This window comes from Homo sapiens, chromosome 15, assembly GCF_000001405.40.
Source record: "Homo sapiens chromosome 15, GRCh38.p14 Primary Assembly".
Classification (NCBI taxonomy): Eukaryota; Metazoa; Chordata; class Mammalia; order Primates; family Hominidae; genus Homo; species Homo sapiens.
Window position 1 is genome coordinate 93140790 of NC_000015.10, and position 18945 is coordinate 93159734.

General features: G+C 46.9%; 1 long non-coding RNA gene across 2 annotated transcripts in view; it reads left to right on the forward strand.

The window, feature by feature from the left end:
• The window catches only part of LOC101927025 (uncharacterized), an 83190-nt gene that overhangs the window by 51576 nt on the left and 12669 nt on the right, over positions 1–18945 (forward strand). For both annotated transcript variants that reach the window (XR_007064769.1, XR_243235.4), the window contains one exon: positions 669–760. This is a non-coding gene — a long non-coding RNA (uncharacterized LOC101927025). The remainder of the gene's footprint in view (positions 1–668; positions 761–18945) is intronic.

Consider the following 18945-nt stretch of genomic DNA (forward strand, 5'->3'; position numbering starts at 1 on the left):
CAAGAAGTGGAATTGGAATCTGCCCCAGGCTTACTTTTATGCCTACGTTGATGTAAGTTCTGGCATTCTTGAGCTTGCCGTTGATCAATGATTGTGTGTTTGTGGAAATCATCCTCTTATCTAATCAGGATGATAACGCCCACATTGTGAACATGACATGTCATTGAGATTTGGAGCTAATGCAAAAATAGTCACTTTAAGTGTAGGAGGTATTTGTATGTCATTTGGAGTAAAAATCTCTTATGTGTTTCACACATCGAATTGTTAATCAACTGAAGCATAAATGTGTATTTATTTGTTGTGAGACAAATTGTTGCAACAGTTAATGATTGTGGATGCCACTCTTCTTATGTACAAAACTGTCATTAAGAATGTTCAAATAGTTAAATAAGTAGGAAAACAGATCAACAGTCAATTCAAATATTTAGATCGTCTAGAGTAACTTTACAAAGAACGTATTATTTTTGCAACTACGAACATTTGTAAAAGTTTAAATAATAAAAGGCAAAATAGTAGAAAATAATTTATATCATAATTCTAATTTTCCTGGAAGTGTTTTGTATATTGGCGTATTATTAGTCAACAATTGCTACAACAATGCTGTAAAGTGAACCATACCAGCGTCTTAGTGGTTTACAACAACCCTCACTTCCTGTTTTTGTTCACAGGTCTGCAAGACAGCTTTGATTCAGCTGATTTCAGCCAGGCTCACCCCGACTTTGCAGGGCGCTGCGAACCCCAGCCTTCAGGTCGGGTTCAGGTATGCTCTATATGTCTCCATCGTTCTGGGACCAGTGGGTATGCAGCGCAAGTTCTTTTCATGGCAAGTGGCAGACGCCTCTAGGCCAAGCCAAATCACTCCAGTACATTTAAATTTCTGATCATGTTATGTCTGCTAACAGGCAATTGGCTAATGTAGCTCACATGGTCCAGCTCAGTCAACTGGGGTGAGGAAGAGGGCAATCTAGAGAGGGGGTCTGCAGAGTCATAAGGCAAAGGGAGGGGATGGGAAGAAGGCACTGTAACCCAGCCTACCACAGCCACAGAGGAGGAGTTACATCTTTTCTGCGGACAGTTACTATTAAAGACAGAAGGAGACTAAATCACTCCATGTCAGTTTCACCATTGGCAGCACCCCATCCTGGTAAAATTAGACAAAAACGAACCTGCCTTCCTACTAGCTTTAGTGTGTGTATATTAATAATTCTTTACCTATAATGTATAAGGTCAGACTTTTACAATTTAGTTACTAATTTTTTTTTTTTTTTTGAGACGGAGTCTCGCTCTGTCGCCCAGGCTGGAGTGCAGTGGCACGATCTCGGCTCACTGCAAGCTCCGCCTCCCGGGTTCATGTCATTCTCCTGCCTCAGCCTCCCAAGTAGCTGGGACCACAGGCTCCCGCCACCACTCCCGGCTAATTTTTTTGTATTTTTAGTAGAGATGGGGTTTCACCGTGTTAGCCAGGATGGTCTTGATCTCCTGACCTCGTGATCCACCCACCTTGGCCTCCCAAAGTGCTGGGATTACAGGCGTGAGCCACCGCGCCTGGCCTATTACATTTTTAATAATGAAAAAGTAATTATAATTAATTTTTAGTGGCTTTGAGATTTATTTTTGGATCCCAGAAGTTCCTTCTCCATGGCAGTATTTGGTTTGGATCTTTTTTGCAGTTTAATATTGATTTTTTTTTTTAACTCTTGGCCATTCAGCATATGGCTCAATGAATTTTGGTGCACCTCTTGTATTTATCTCTCTACATTAGACATATTTGGATCATATCCATATATTATATCCATTTGTCCTGCAATTTGTCTTTTCATGTAATGAGTTCTTTCCAACCAGCATATATAGACCTACTTCATTATAGTTAATGTCTACACATTGTTCCGTTGATTTAAGATTCCTCCACAGTGGAACTTACTAACACATCCCTCATGGATGCATGTCTAGGTTCCCAATCGTGCCTATCCCAGCGCTGCAGTTACGGCCAGTCTCACTGTCACTCACCAGAGTCGGGTGTCTGCCTATATATCCTGCAATGGAGCCAATAGCCTCCTGAGGCCTGCGTGGGATGTCCCTTCTGCTCCCATCCTCCTCATGCCACTTGTTCTTTCAGGAACATTTCATGCTACTGATCTCTTCCTCCTTTGGCTTTTTCGTGCTCCCTCTCTCCAGTTGTTCTGCTCAATGCCCTGTGGCACGCCTTGCCTTCTTTTAAAGGTGTGCTCAGGGATTCGCCTCATTTTTCACTGCTCATTCCTGTCTGGGCTTTCCCTGGAAGATCCCCTGCCACCCATCCCCTGCTGCCTCCAGGATTGTCTCCCAGCCCGGGCCTCTGGCATAGAAGCCATCTACCTCCTGGTTGCATCACCTGGAGGAAACGCAGGCCCCTCACTCAGCTCTCGCTCCAGATGCCATCCTCCTCTGTGCTTGCTGCCTTGGTCATTGGTGCCATCATAGCTGTCCCCACTCCCACATTCGAGTGACGCTTTTAGGTGTGTTCATTCCACCTCTGAGCCTCTCACACTCGCCCCCTCCTCTAATCTCTACAGTGCCCTACTCAGCGTTTGCTAGTGGTGGCCCCGTCCACCTTGTGTGCGTAGTACATCCCAGCCATCCCTTGGCAGCCAGGACCATCGGCACACTAGCAAGTCCACGGGGTCAGGTGTGCGTCTCTGGGCCTACCTCTGATCCTTCCATCCTGCCCGCACCTCTGAAACTCTCTCCATTTGAACCACCTGTATTGGATTGTTTCCTGCTGGGGTGTTGATGGGTGGGATTTGTTCGTTCACGACTTTTCAGCCCCATCTGTCTTCTGTCTGCTCGTCCCAGGCACCTGGGGAATCACTCCTACCTAATGGAGAGGGAAGGGAGTCCATGATTATGAATGATGTGACAAAACATGAAAGGAGAAAGGGATTGCTTCTCCCTCTGATCCCAAGGAAGGCTGCCTGGAGGAGGAAGCACTGGGGCTGTACGGGGAGCAGAGTTTGATGAGTGAAGAAGGGGTGGAGTAGGATAAAAACCACAGCAAAGAGCTCTCAAAGCGCGTCTGTCTTTCCCCAGGCCATAGTCCATGATGTCACCACCATGTGGTCACTGGGCTAGAAGCCTTGGCACCATCATTGACTCTTGCTTTTCCCTCCCCGCCATGCCTGGCCTGTCACTGAGGCCAGTGGTGTCTCCTTCTCATGTGCTCCTTGCCTCCCTGTCCCCTCTTGTCTATCTCTTCTGCCACATCTGCACAGTAGCCAGGGTGTCCTGTTTGGCCAGAAGAAATGCAAATAGATGGCCGGGCGTGGTGGCTCACACCTGTAATCTCAGCACTTTGGGAGGCCAAGGCAGGCGGATCACGAGGTCAAAAGGTAAGAGACCACCCTGGCTAACACAGTGAAACCCCGTCTCTATTAAATATACAAAAACAAAATTAGCCAGGCGTGGTGGTGGGCACCTGTAGTCCCAGCTACTCGGGAGGCTGAGGCAGGAGAATGGTGTGAACCCGGGAGGTGGAGCTTGCAGCTAGCCAAGATCGCGCCACTGCACACCAGCCTGGGCGACAGAGCAAGACTCCTTCTCAAAAAAAAAAAAAAAAAAAAGAAATGCAAATAGATGAGCCTGTTTTTGGACGTCTACTAGATACTTGGCACTATGCTAGACGCTGAAATAGATTACCTTTAACTTTCATCACGTTTCTGGGAGGTAAGGCAGTGTTATTCCCACTTGGAGATGAAGAAGCCGGTGTTGTTCCCTCTATGTTGAAGGCTCCTCAGGATTTTGAAGAGGGAAGGATGAGGAGCCATGGTCATGTGTGCTTCTTCCCATCTCTGGAACTGGTCTTGGGCAAGTTCCTAGGGTTGATGGATTGCAGCAAGTCCTGAAACTCAGCTGCTTAGAGACAGAGCTTGTGTGCTGAATTTAATGAGCAAGCTCTCTCCAGCCAGCTGGAGACGAAACCTTTCAGGAGATCTGGAAGGTCCGTGAAGGGAGGTTTTATTTCCCTGGGCAACTCTAGGTGCATTTTTACTCAGTGGGCCCCAGAGGAGAGACTCGAGCAAAATATTTTTTTTTTGTCCCAACTGCTTGTGAAATGGAGAATATTTTTAGCAGATTTGAAAGCTTTGGAGACAGATCCCATTACTCAGTGCCCTGCTCAGAGCAAGCACTCAATAAACCTTTGTTGAACGTGGCTGAATGTTCCTCATTGGTACAAAGATCCTCCAGTGAATGTGTGCATTAGAGGAGTGGATGAAGATGTCAGCCGGCCTGACCGTAAAAAGGCATCTTTACAGCTCCATAAAAAGGAACATGGACAATAGCTAGAATGTCATCCATGAGCACAATAAATATTTCCCCGAAGTTCTTTGCCCATCAGGAAACCACATCACACACACTTTTAAAACCAGTGGACTTTAAGTAAAATGCCAGCTATTTATTGGAACTGATCGGTTTTACAATTAACCAAAGTGCACAACAATCATGTCCACCTTGATTGATGTATGGGGCTTTAGTGAATGACAGAAAGGAGAGAGAGATCGAGGTTTTAAGCAGTGCCCAAACGCAGTCACTTTGGCTTCACAATACTGTCCGTTGCATGCATTTTAAAAAGGGAACACCTCTAGGATGCTGTGGTTCCTTTCTTCAGTCATTCAGCCAGCACTGGCTGAGCACCTGCTTGTGCTGGGCACAGTGCTGGAGACTCAGAGTTGAGAAGACAGAAGTCCCACCCCCAAGATGCACACAGCCTAGTGGCAGGTGGGCAGTGGTGATGGAGTGTCCGGCGTGCTGTGAGGGAGGCATGCCCAGGCCATCACGAGAGGACACAGCGAGCAGCAAGACGTGACTTGGGTGGGCAGGGAAGAGTTCGGGAAAACTAGGGGATTCTAGAAGGATGATTCAAAGAACAGGAAGGGAGACGGGCCTCTGGGCCCAAGCAAAGACACAGGGTTATTGGAGGACTGGGGTTGCAGGTGGCTGGAGGAATGATGGGGAGGCTGGGGCAGCAGCTGGGGTGGGCGGGGTTTCTCATGCCTGTCAAGGAGTCAGCATATCATCCTAACTGCTGCCTTAAGGGGTAATCTCTCTGTAACTCTCTAACTCAGAGAATGTGGTGACTCAATTTCTCCTGATACTCTACCTAATACTTTTATTACTTTAGTGAAGTCTGTGCAGCCGAAAACGCATAGAATGAATAGCACATTCTGGCAACATCAGGCTAACCAAACTCATCACTTTCACGGCAAATGTGAAGCCTAACTTCCTGGCTTCCTGAAATGATCTCCCCACCTTATTGTAAAGAACAGAGGCAGAGAAAGTTGCGCCCTCTCTCCCTGTGTGTGACCTTTGTAATCAAGTGTCACCTGGGCAAAAGTGGCCTCTGGTGAAAGACTTACTTGGAGAAGTTGGAAAGCTGGAAGCCTGGGGAGATGGTGCTTGGGAGTGAGGTCATACTCATTGCCACCAGGTCCCTTGTCTTTTTGTTGGAAGATGGCCAGGCTTTGCCAAGAGCTGATTGTTGAGGGCTTTGAGCGTTGGCTTAGGGCGCTTGTTTCCTCACTGCTGATGAAGGAAGGATCCCTGGGCATCCGGCTCTGCCCAGGGGCTACTCCAAGAGGCACTATGTCCTTAATTGACTTCAGAGGGCAGTGTTCCCAGTACCACTGGGTTTGGGATTGTCTCCAGCCATGGGCACACTAGCTGGCTCCGCCGCCTCTCCCTGGGGAGAAGGGGAAGTTTGCTTTCCCAAGCCTGGGTTCCACTGCCTTGCACCCATCCTCCGCCTGCCCCTACCACCTCGAGTAAGCTTTTTAGGACAGCATATCCACAGTGAGCCATGCCGAGTGTACAGCCTCAGGTATTTGAGGGTGAGACAACCTTAGATTCACAGTATTTACGGATGATACCAGCTACTGGCCACCGCTTCTTGGCTGGACTCAGCATTAAATAGCAAGCTCTAGGCTAGCCCTGGCAAGCAAGGAATTCTAGAACATTGGAGCTGTATGGGCCACTAAGGCTGCTCCCCAGAATCTGGTAACGCAGCCAGTGTGGCACATGGGCAGACAGCTGATGCTGTCTCATCCTGCGATGAAGGAAAACTGTCCTCACATGGAACAGAAATCTGTCTCCCTGAGGTTACAAATCAGTGGCCCTCAGACCCTTATCCTGGCATTTTCAAGATCATGTAACAAGCCTATCCTTTGTCACAAGGATTATTATTTAGAGTTTATGTTTTTGTGGAGTTGATGGTTATAAAGGATACCCTTTTAAATATGTGATAAATTCCCTTTCTTCTTCCTTAGGTCAAATAGCACAGCCTTCTTCATACATTCTTTAAATGGAAAACTTTTCCTTTCCACAGAGCCCACAGTCTCAGATACAATCTTTTCTTCCTATTTATTTATTTTTATTTTTTTCAGATGGAGTCTCGCTCTGTCGCCCAGGCTGCAGTGCAATGGCATGATCTCCGCTCACTGCAACCTCCGCCTCCCAGGTTCAAGCAATTCTCCCACCACAGCCTCCCAAGTAGCTGGGATTACAGGTGCCTGCCACCACGCCCAGCTAATTTTTTTTTTTTTTTTTTTTTTTGTATTTTTAGTAGAGACAGAGTTTCGCCATGTTGGCCAGGCAGGTCTGGAACTCCAGACCTCAGGTGATCCACCCGTCTTGGCCTCCCAAAATGTTGAGATTACAGGCATGAGCCACCGTGCCTGCCTGTATTTATAAAAGTAATATATGCTTGGAGAAAATTGGGTAATAAAATTCAAAGAAGAAAAATACACCCAGTTCATTGGGCAGTGCTGTCCGCCAGGTTGCTGAACCTGCAACGGCATCCCAGTCCTGTAGCACTCCAGGTCCCCTGAGTTATTCAAATTCAGCCCAGTGCAATGCTTCAGTCTCAAACTCAATTTAAACCGCACCTCCTCGCCCTCCTCTGCAGAGACTGGATCTGGGACCTCTGGCCTGGAAGACAGGCCCGCTGGCCAACCCCTCCCTGGAAGGCAGCCCCTCCAGCATGTTGGGGCCACAGCAGGGAGGGAAGAGTGAGGACTTTCCTGTGTTCCCTCGATGCTGTCACCTTCTTTTCTCCCTGGGTGTCGGAGCCCCCTGTGTGCCAGGCCTGCGAAGGTTGGGGATCTCGTGAGGCACATAGGGCTAAATGGGTTAGTTGAGGAGAGCTGCAGAGCTCCCCAGGTGCCATTCCCCAATATTCTAGATAAAGTTCTAGTTCTGCAGGACCTTTATGTAAAAAATTATTTTTAATAATAATTATACGTATTTGTGGGTTATAAGTGATGTTTTGGTACCTGTATACATTGTGGAATAATTAAATCATACTAATGAACATATCCATCACATCAATGTGGTAAGAACATTTAAAATCTACTATTTGGGCAATTTTGAAATTTACAACACATGATTAACTGTATTAGTCTGTTTTCATGCTGCTGATAAAGACATACTTGAGACTGGGCAATTTACAAAAGAAAGAGGTTTAAGGGACTCATAGTTCCACGTGACTGGGGAGGCCTCACAATTATGGCGGAAGGTGAAAGGCACGTCTCACATGGTGGAAGACAAGAGAAGAGGGCTCGTGCAGGGAAACTCTCCTTTATAAAACCATCAGATCTCATGAGACTCACAGGAAAGACCTGCCCCCATGATTCAATGACCTCCCACCAGCTCCCTCCCACAACATATGGGAATTGTGGGAGCTACAATTCAAGACGAGATTTGGGTGGGGACACAGCCAAACCATATCATTAACTATAGTCACCCTGCTGTGCAATCCATCTCTAAAGCCCCTTCTGTCTAACGGAAACTTTGTACTCTTTGACCAACATCTCCCCGTTCCCACCCTGCCCCTCCAGCCCCTGGTAAGCATTATACTCTCTACTTCTATGAGTTCAACTTTTTCACATTCCACATATCAGTGACATCATGCAGTATTTGTCCTTCTTTGCCTGGCTTATTTTACTTTGCATAATATCCTCCAGTTTCATCCATGTTGTTGCAAATGACAAAACGTTCTTCTTTTTAATGGCTGAATAGTATTCCATTGTGAATATATACCACATTTTAAAAATCCAGTCCTCTGATGGACACTTAGGTTGATTCTTTTATCTAAAGACAAAAGATAAGTGTTGTTGAGGATGTGGAGAAACGGGAACCCTTGCCCACTGTTGGTGGGAATGTAAATTAGTAAAGCCACTATGGAAAAGAGTATGGAGGTTCCTCAAAAAACCAGAACTACCATAGGATCCAGCAACCCCACTTCTGGGTATATATCCAAAGGAATTGAAATCAGTATCAAATCATAGATATCTACACTCCCACGTTGATTGCAGCATTATTTACAAGAGCCAAGTGATTTTTTGACTCTCTTGACAACTCTCCTATAGCCTCAGATCTGTCCTCCTGCTGCTGGGGTTTCCCTGCCCAGTGGGCTGCCACCTAGGGAAAGATCCCAGCCACCCTCACAGGTGTCGTTGCGCCCAGAGGAAACACATGCATTCTCGCTGTGGCAAATGGCAGGAGCCCATGCAGCCCACTGTGTCTCATTAAAGCTGTCAGTGTCTTTTGGGGAGCCATCAAATTCAGAGTGCTAGGACTTAATTAGAATTTAATTAGGATCTTTGTAGCCTGTTATTGAGATGGATTTATTCTTTTTTTTGCTATGTCCTTTTTAATGTTTTGTTATTAGTACTGCGCTAGATTGATAAAATAGACTGGATTGTATTCCATCTTTTTCCACACTTTGGAACAGTTTTTATAATATGAGAATAATCTGTTCCATGAACATTTGAAAGAATGTGCTGTGGCAACAATCTGACTCAAAAGCCTTTTTCAGGGGAGGCAGTTCTTTAAACCTGGTTTGCTTTCTTTCATTCCTGTTAGTCAACACAAATTTTTGTGCTTCTCTCCTTTTTTTTTTTTTTTTTTTTGAGACAGAGTCTCACTCTGTTGCCCAGGCTGGAGTGCAGTGGCGCGATCTCAGCTCGCTGCAACCCTTGCCTCCCGGGTTCAAGCAATTCTCCTGCCTCAGCCTCCCAAGTAGCTGGGGTTACAGGTGCGCCACCACACCTGGCTAATTTTTGTATTTTTAGTAGAGATGGGGTTTCGCCCTATCGGCCAGGCTGGTCTCCAACTCCTGACCTCAGGTGATCTGACCGCCTCGGCCTCCCAAAGTGCTGGGATTACAGGTGTGAGCCACTGTGCCTAGCCTTTGTGCTTCTCTTTGAGACAAACTTAGTAATTTGTGTCTCCAGTGACAACTTATACAGGGCTTGCTGGTCAGACTGGCTTCAGCTATTTATGAGTTCTGCATAGCCTCGCCCTGTCTGCCTGTCTGTCTGTCTGTCTGTCTGAGCTCCTTGGCACCCAGGAGGCAGAGATGGGGAACAAAGAGAACATGAGGAGCAGCAGTCTACTCCTCTCCTTTCTTTTGAGCTGGACATATTGAAAGAGGAATCATTTTGTTGGGCGCGGTGGCTCACGCCTATAATCCTAGCACTTTGGGAGGCCAAGGTGGGTGGATCACTTGAGGTCAGGAGTTCGAGAACAGCCTGGCCAACATGGCAAAACCCCATCTCTACAAAAATTAGTCAGGCATGGTGGCAGGCCCCTGTAATACCAGCTGCTTAGGAGGCTGACGCAGGAGAATCGCTGGAACCCGGGAGGCGGGGGTTGCAGTGAGCCGAGATCACGGCACTACACTCCAGCCTGGGCAACAAAGCAAGACTCCATCTCAATAAATAAATAAATAAAACCATTTCCTTCTCTCTCTCTCTCTCCTTTTTGTACACACTTTGTTCTCTGGATTGATGGAAATTCATGTTATGTCATGTGCTGGTTCATAGTGCTCAGATTGAGGATTTCTGAATAGACATGAACTTGGATCCTGACTTTGCTTTGAGTTGTTTTCTAGCCCCCTCTTCTGCCCCCAACATCACTTACCATGACAAATGCTGGCACCTGGATCCTTGTGGAAGTCCTCACCCTGGAGAAAGGAGAGACTATCTGGCTCAGCCCCACAGGGGGGAGAGAGACCTCAGCTGGAAAGATGTGGACATGTCTGTCCCGGGGGAAGAGGTTAAAGGGCAGAGGGGATGTATGAATAACTCTTCTTTTTCCACTTATGAATATGCTCTGCCCAAACTGCTCATGATGTTAGACATGTCCACCTTCCATCCGACATAAGTGAGGGGGCCCTATCGGCACCTCCCTCCCGGATGTGATGGAATGCTTTGGAAACCATTAATCCTGGTGTCAGCAGGAGCCTATGGAGGAACTTGTAGTTAATATCCCCCACGAGCCAGGGAACGGGCTGAGAGGCAGACAGCTTACTTCCTTCTCCCTTTCGGCAGCAGAGTCATGGGCTGGCTCAGCAGGTCCGAGTTAGATCATTGGCAGAACCGGCTGGTGCCAACCTTTAAATTTTAGGGCTGCCTCTTCTATCCTGGTCAAGAGCTTCATTTGTTACATAATCATGTGTCTGTAGCTGCCCCATGGCCTCATAAAATGTGCAGCTTAACGGGGACGTTTTCTTCTTGCCTGAAGCTTTGGCCGTGGGGCCTTCAGTCCAGCCACAGCTGGCCTGAGCTGGGGACAATGACAGTTCACAGGATTCCATGTGCTCTCCCACTTCTCTGCTCATAAGTTTTCCCCATAAACCCAACTTTTTTAAAAAATGAGGATGACTCATATAAAGATATGATTTGTACCAGATTGGTTTGTAAATGCAACATAATCCCAAATAATTTTTTTATAATTTTTTTTAAAAATTTACCGTCTTTACCATTTTTAAGCCTACAGTTCAGTGGTGACTAATACATTCATATTCTTTCTCTCCCTTCATGCCTCCTTCCTCCTCCCCTTCCAGCCTCTGCTAACCACCAATCTACGCTGTCTCATGATACAGGTATGTGTGTCCTTTGCATGGCAATGCTAATATTGTTGCCACCACCTTCTCATACCAGTCTGACATTAATTCCTGCCCTTTAGTGACTGTGAGTTCCAGTCTTGAATGGGCATAGAATTTGTCACAGCGATAGCTAACAATTAGTGTTACTACATGCTGGGCACCATGCTAAGAGTTTTGTATGTATTAACTCACTTATGTAGGTCGGTGAAATTATCTTTTTTTTTCTATGCAGTTCACTTTTCTTTCCCCCAGAAAAGGAACCGAGGCACAGCGAGGTTAATAATTTTTTCAAGGTCACACAGCTATAAATGGCGAGACCAGGATTCAAACCTAGGCAGTCTTCCTTTAAAGGCATTAAACTCTATGCTGGTGATGAGCAGGTGGGTAGAGAAAAGGTTCAGGGATAAAAATAAAGTGGTTTCTTACATTTATTCCAAGATTTTAGCAGGTCAGCTGTGAGTACCAAACTTTCAGTGCTATGAGTGTCTGGGTGTTTTGGCTGGTTTGCTTGCTTTCTCTGTGTTCCTAGGTGTGCAAGTGGGAAGAGGGGGTGGGACACATCCTGCAGAGAGACCTGCCGTGCTCCCCACTGGAGACTGCAGCCTCCACTTCCCACAATCCCTTGCATCTTTGTCTCTAGTCTGTGGCCTGGCTTCCCCCAAGAAGACGTGTCTCATGAGATGTGGAAGGAGAGGGTGAACAGCATTAAGTGACACTGTTTCCACTGCTTCTGTGTGCTCGAGGAAGTGTTGGGTTTTCCTGTGACAACCGCAGCAGAGGTCCCAGCAGTGGGGAGGTGAGGGAGTTAGAGCAGGCTGTCTGGTGGCCCTGGTGCCAGCAGGTGAGACAGCGACCTCCTCATTACCTGGCTTCTCAATCAGGACCAAGGCAGCAGCTTGTCATTTGGGAGTCATTCCTGGAAGCTTAGCTCTGAGCCTACTCTACAGCCATTCCATCAGCTTTGCAAGGACGTAGGTCACTGTATTAAGTCCTTTTCTGTGTAAACTAGGTAGAGTGTTTCATGCTATTTGCAATTGAACCTGGTGATACAATAGGTTTTTGTTATTCGTGGTATTTAATGAGAGGTTTTTTTTCCTTTTTTTTAAAAAAAAAACATGATTGGTTCAGATTGAGCTCATGGTAAACTAAAGCCATCAGCTTTCTTTTCCCATAAATGTTCTTAGGATAGTCACCCCCATTGTGGGTGCATGCGATCCACCGAAGTTGCTTGCCCTGAGTCCATCAACCCAGCAGGTGAGGTCCTTTTGAGTTACTGTCTCAAAACGATGAAAACCACATTGTTCTCACTGCCAAAACCTTGTCCCATTGCTCCATGATGCTGTCTCCAGCTGGGTTTCTGCCAAGAGTTTTCTTGGCTTGTTCTCTGCTCCTGGAAAGGAACAGCCTGTCCTCCAGTGCTCTGGCCTCCTGGGGAGCCCATCAATGCCTCCACCTTCCTCTCTGTGTCTCTTGGAGGACCCCGGGGTTACTGCTCTGACACCCTTCCTCTCCCCCTCTTCTGAGGGCAGTCGTCCAAATTCCTCCAGGATCTGGCCTAGAAACACTTGCTCAGCAGCACATGGGCAGGGCCATTAGGTACAGTCGGGGTGCGCTGTCCCGCAAGGATTCCACTTAGAAGGGTGTCCATGCAGACTTGTTTCATGCTCAGACCTCCCAGTGGAGTGTGTGTGAGAAGTTTCACTATCACTGTATGCTTTTTAAACTGCAGCTGATAACCCTTTACTAGGGAAAAAAACTGATTTAGAGGACTGTGCCGCATTGACTATATAGAAGTTTGTTGTACATAGGAAAGGTTAATATTGTCTGGAGCATCTTTTGCTAGTTGTATGTGTATCAGTTAAGGTTCCACCAGGGAAACAGAACCAGTAGGAAATATAAATGAATAAATAATCATATATAAAACTTTTTTTTTTTTTTGAGGTGGAGTCTCTCTCTGTTGCCCAGGCTGGAGTGCAGTGGCATGATCTCGGCTCACTGCAACCTCCACCTCCCGGGTTCAAACGATTCTTCTGCCTCAGCCTCCCAAGTAGCTGGGATTACAGGTGTGTGCTACCATGCCTGGCTGATTTTTGTATTTTTAGTATAGATGGGGTTTCACCATGTTGGCCAGGCTGGTCTTGAACTCCTGACCTCAAGTGATCCGCCTGTGTCGGCCTCCCAAAGTACTGGGATTAAAGGTGTGAGCCAGCATGCCCAGCCTAAAACTCTTTCTATCTTAAAAAATATGTATGTGTGCATCTCCAAAAAAATTTACAGCAAGGAATTGGCTTGCCTTATTCTGGGATTGGCCAGTCAAGTCCAAAGTCCACAGGGCAGGAAGGAAGGGCAGCAGAAACTTTCCAGCACAAGTTGATGCTATCCCCAGGGAGAATTTCTTCTATTTCAGGGAAGCCTCTATTCTGCTCTTAAGACCTTTCAACTGATTCCACCAGGCCTGCCCATATTATCTAGGATAATCTTCTTTACTGAAAGTCAACTCACTATAGACTTTATATCACATCTCCAGAATACCTTCCCAGCTACACCCAGCGTAGTGTTTGACCAAATGGCTGGGCAGTAGCCCAGCCATGTTGACACATAAAACTGACCATCACAATATGTGTGTTTATGCACTGAGTCAGGATTAAAAATGAATTTCTGACTGTAAAATATAATTTAAAGAGCTCAGGAGGAAGTCATCTCCTCCTTGTGCCCTCTGTTTTGGAAGCAGACATATTCAGATCTGCCCCTTTCCCTCTGTCATTCGCTCCAGGTTTTTTTATTTTAATTCTTAGAGATATTCCAGCTTCCTCCAAGGGTATAAAGTCGGCCTTATGGAGCGGGGGCACTTGACACACCGGTCACAGGGCTGGGCCACACTGGAAACCAGGGGGTTCTCCCAGCCGAGCTCCAAGAAGGATTCTCGTGGTGGTGTGTGCACAAAAGGAAGAATCTGCTTTCTGTGTATTCCGAGTGAATCCTGAAATTCCAATAAGCAAAGTCCTACAGGAAACAGCAATGCGTAGTCCCTAAGTGGAAAAGCTCACAGTCACACAAAACTTCCAGTCCTATGTCAGAAAATCTCTAAGGAACCAATCTGAGTAGGCTACGAAGAGTGTTGCCTCCTCCCTGCAGTTTCTCATCACTCCTTCTACTGTCCGGGTTTCCTGGGTTGTTTTATAAAGGCACAGCTGACTCATAATTCCCAAGCTGAAGCTACTTCTAGGGAAGGAATATACGACATCCTGGATAAACAAAGAAGTCATACATTGTTAATGTACAGAATAGGAAAGCCATGTAGGTGGAGCATCTTCAAATTATGTGTCTTCCTGAGGGAGCAAATCATTCTATAAACACTGGTGAGCCAGGCCACATTCGAGGGGCTGGGGATATAAAGGTGACCAAGATGTGCCTACAAGGAGAAAGACAGCTGTGGACTGAATGCTTGCATCTCCCCCAAATTCACATGTTGAAACTAATCCCCAAAGTAATGGTATTAGGCAGTGGGGCCTTTGGAAGGTGATTAGGTCACAAGGGCAATAGCCGTCATGAATGAGATTAGTGCCTTATGAAAGAGGCTCCAGGGAGCTGCCTTACCCCTTCTACTACATGAGGATGCAGCAAGAAGACACCATCTATGAACCAGAAAGCTGACCCTAAACCCCACAAGACACTGAGTTTGCCGGTGCCTTGATCTTGGACTTCCCAGCCTCTAGAGTTGTGAAAAATTAATTTCTGCTGCTTACACCCAGCTAATTTTTTGTATTTTTAGTAGAGATGAGGTTTCACCATGTTGGCCAGGCTGGTCTCGAACTTCTGACCTCAGATGATCTGCTTGCCTTGGCCTCCTGGAGTGCTGGGATTACAGGCATGAGCCACCACACCTGGCCTATAAGCAATTATTTTTAACCCGTGTCATGTCTGTAAGTACACTTGAAAGTTGTGCAGAACAGTTTGTCCATGAAGACATGTGACATCTCTGTCTCCTGGCCGCTAAATGCCATTAGCCCTGTGGCCCTGATATGGTTTGGATCTGTGTCCCCATCCAAACCTCATGTTCAGTTGTCATCCCCAGTGTTGTAGGTGGGGCCTGGTGGGAGGTGATTGGACCATGAGGGTGGATTTCTCATGAATGGCTTAGCACCATCTCCTCTGTGCTATTCTCCGCAACAGTGAGTGAGTTCTCACGGAATCTGGTCGTTTAGAAGGGTGTGGCGTCTCCCCCATCTCTCTCTCTTGCTCCTGCTCCAGCCATGTGAGAAGAAAGCTCCCCCTTTGCCTTCCACCATGACTGGAAGCTTCCTGAAGTCTCCCCAGAAGCAGAAGCTAATATGATTCCTGTACAGCCTGCAGAACCATGAGCCAATTAAAATTCTTTTCTCTATAAATTACCTAGTCTTAGGTATTTCTTTTTTTTTTTTTTTTTTGAGACGGAGTCTCGCTCTGTCTCCCAGGCTGGAGTGCAGTGGCGCAATCTCGGCTCACTGCAAGCTCCGTTTCCCAGGTTCACGCAATCCTCCTGTCTCAGCCTCTCGAGTAGCTGGGACTACAGGCGCCCACCACCATGCCTGGCTAATTTTTTTTGTATTTTTAGTAGAGACGGGGTTTCACTATGTTAGCCAGGATGGTCTCAATCTCCTGACCTCGTGATCCGCCCTCCTCGGCCTCCCAAAGTGCTGGGATTACAGGCGTGAGCCACCGCGCCTGGCTAGTCTTAGGTATTTCTTTATAGCAATGCAGGAATGGTCTAATACACCTTCTTTCATCATTATGACAATGAAAAAACTCCCACATTTCTAGTATGTCCCTTGTTATGAGTTTCTGCCCTTGTTGAGAACAACTGCTCTGGATGGGCACACAAAGCATCTAGACAGGACTGATTATGGACTCAAGATCTAAAAAAGAAAATGATACGATCTTTTAGTGAGAGAAAGTAGATAAAACAGATAATAGGGAATGAGAGGGCAAATTATGAATATTTATTGATACCACATATTAATTAGAATGTTTTGGGCTGCAAGTAAAGAACATTCATTTAGAGCAGGCTTGAACAATAAAGAAAGGCATTGTGGCACAAATAGGATGTTGAGAAGTACAGAGTGTGACCAACTGACTCTGGGCAAACTCTGGAGCCGGACTAGCTAGGTTTGCACCCTAGACCCACCATTTACCAGCTAGTTATATTGACTTAGGCAAGTTACTTAACTTTTCTCTGTTTTGGTTTTATCATCTGCACAATGGGATTAGAAGTATATCCACCTCATAGGTCTAAGTGATTTAATATAAAAGTACAAGTGCTTCAGATCAGTGCTTGTATTTTTCGTATTTTTAGTAGAGATTTTGTATTTTTAGTAGAGATGGGGTTTCACAATGTTGGCCAGGCTGGTCTTGAACTCCTGACCTCAGTTGCTCTGCCCACCTCAGCCTCCCAAAGTGCTGGCATTACAGGTGTGAGCCACTGTGCCTGGCCGATTATAAGCATTTCTTTTTTTTTTTTTTTGAGACAGAGTCTTGCTCTGTCGCCCAGGCTGGAGTGCAATGGTGCGATCTCGGCTCACTGCAAGCTCCGCCTTCTGGGTTCACGCCATTCTCCTGCCTCAGCCTCCTGAGTAGCTGGGACTACAGGGGCCCGCCACCACATCCGGCCAATTTTTTGTATTTTTAGTAGAGACAGGGTTTCACCGTGTTAGCCAGGATGGTCTCTATCTCCCGATCGTGATCTACCCACCTTGGCCTCCCAAAGTGCTGGGATTACAGGCATGAGCCACCGCGCCCGGCCCATTATAAGCATTTCTAAACGTACATAAGGAAGATTTAAAAAGTCCTGCTATGTGCTCAAAGGGCACAGGCCGGGTGGGGAAACAAATGAGGTGAGAGATCCTGCACTCAAGCCGTGGTGTTTTTTTTTTTTTTTTTTTTATACTTTAAGTTCTAGAGTACATGTGCACAACGTGCAGGTTTGTTACATATGTATACATGTACCATGTTGGTGTGCTGCACCCATTCGCTCGTCATTTACATTAGGTATTTCTCCTAATTCTATCCCTCCCCCCTCCCCCGACCCAAGCCGTGGTTCTTAAAGCATCTGAGCTCGAAGACCAGCTTTAACACTTCCAGTCCTTGGTGGACAGTTCTATGGTCCTCACACATGACTAGTTGCAGCTAGGAGGGCCTCTGCTGGGAGTTCAATGCGCAAACTGGTCTACACCCTGTTCAATGAGCTGGGCACGTTGATGGGATGCTTAGGTACTGTGGCAATTTGAAAGTGCTATGCAAGTTCCTGAATTCTTATCCTCAATTTGTGGGCCAGTTAGAACAGGTCGCAGCAGCACTGGTCCAATGTTCCTTTAAGTAACCTTGCACTAGGGAAACTTCTAGCGAATTTGTACCCCTATAGTTTTCTTCCAGTTTCTTTCTTACACACAGACTCTTTTCTTCTAGAGGGGTTCCAAGTGACTTCGTCCCCTCCTGGGCTCAGCTGTGGCTTCTGAGCTCTCCAGCAAAGCCAGGCTCCCATTGAGAGACAAATCCAGAGCCTTGTGGACAGGTGCTTGGCAGGCACCCTGCCTGCAGGGCCACGCCCTCCTGCACAGCCATGCGTAGCCTCAGCTCCAGTTCCCTGACCTCCATGGACGCTCCGACACTCGGCAAAGAGACCAGTCAGGGGACCAGGGAAAGAGGCAGAGTGGGGAGCTTCCGGGCCCTCAGGCAAGCAGCGGCTAGGTGAGGACAGTTACCAAAATGGTAATCATAGCCAGGGGCTGGAAAACCTTTCTTGAGATGTAGCAGTCAAACCACATAGTTGTTAAATGACCATAACTATGTCTTAAATAATCAGTTCAGCTGGTCTCTATTTAACATAATAGCTGCCTATTAAACCTAGATTAAGTACAGAGTTCAACATCTCTAGGACACAGAAACCCCAAAATGACTGCCAAACCCAGAATGAAACCTCTGGCTGGAAGGAGCCGCAAATGTGTCCACCTGGCCTGGGTGTGTTCTGGTCTGGAGAATGCGGAGTCCGCATCCCACTGCCCAGCTGTCTGTGCTTGAAGAATAATATTTCCCAGGGCTGGGGCAGGGCGGGGGACAAGCTTTGGAATACATTTCAATCCTGATTATATCTCACGACTGCTTTAGTCTTGTAGACATTTCTGAACATGTCAGAAATACAGAAACACCTCCAAGAAGCACTGTGAGGCCTGTATGGCCTCGAATATACCAGATGATGGCAAATTCTGCCTCTTCTTTCTAGCCCCATTCCCCTGGCGTAGAAAGGTCCTTACCTACACTCAGGGCTGCAGTAAGAGCCCCCCACCCTTCTTCCATCCTCTATCCTGCCACTATTCACTGATTTATTCATCCATTCACTCACTTGGCCGGGCGCGGTTGCTCACGCCTGTAATCCCAGCACTTTGAGAGGCTGAGGCGGCTGGATCACGAGGTCAGGAGATCAAGACCACCCTGGCTAACATGATGAAACCACATCTCTACTAAAAAAATACAAGAAATTACCGGGCGTGGTGGCGGGCACCTGTAGTCCCAGCTACTCGGGAGGCTGAGGCAAGAGAATGGCGCGAACCCGGGAGGCAGAGCTTGCAGTGAGCCGAGATCGCGCCACTGCACTCCAGCCTGGGCAACAGAGCGAGACTCCGTCTCAAAAAAAAAAAAAACCAAAACAAAGAACATCCATTCACTCACTCATTCATTCATTCCAGAAATAATTTCTGTGTACCCACTATGTGCTGAACACTCAGGTAGCAAGACAGTGGCAGCAAAAACAGACCCCCAAGGGCTGATATTTTGGTGGGAGAGGCTGCCACTGTTCAGAGTGGTCTTTCTAAAAGGCAGTCTGTCCCCTGTTCTCTCAGCCTCCAGGAATAAAAGGTCCTGTTTATCTCTCTTTGCTTATTTCATGCCTCCGCCTTCTTCCTTTGGGAGCCAGCCCGTACATCCAGTAAGTGATGTTCCTCAGCTCCTTCTGGGGACCACCTGCATAAACATTACCTGGGATGGTAGTTAAACAT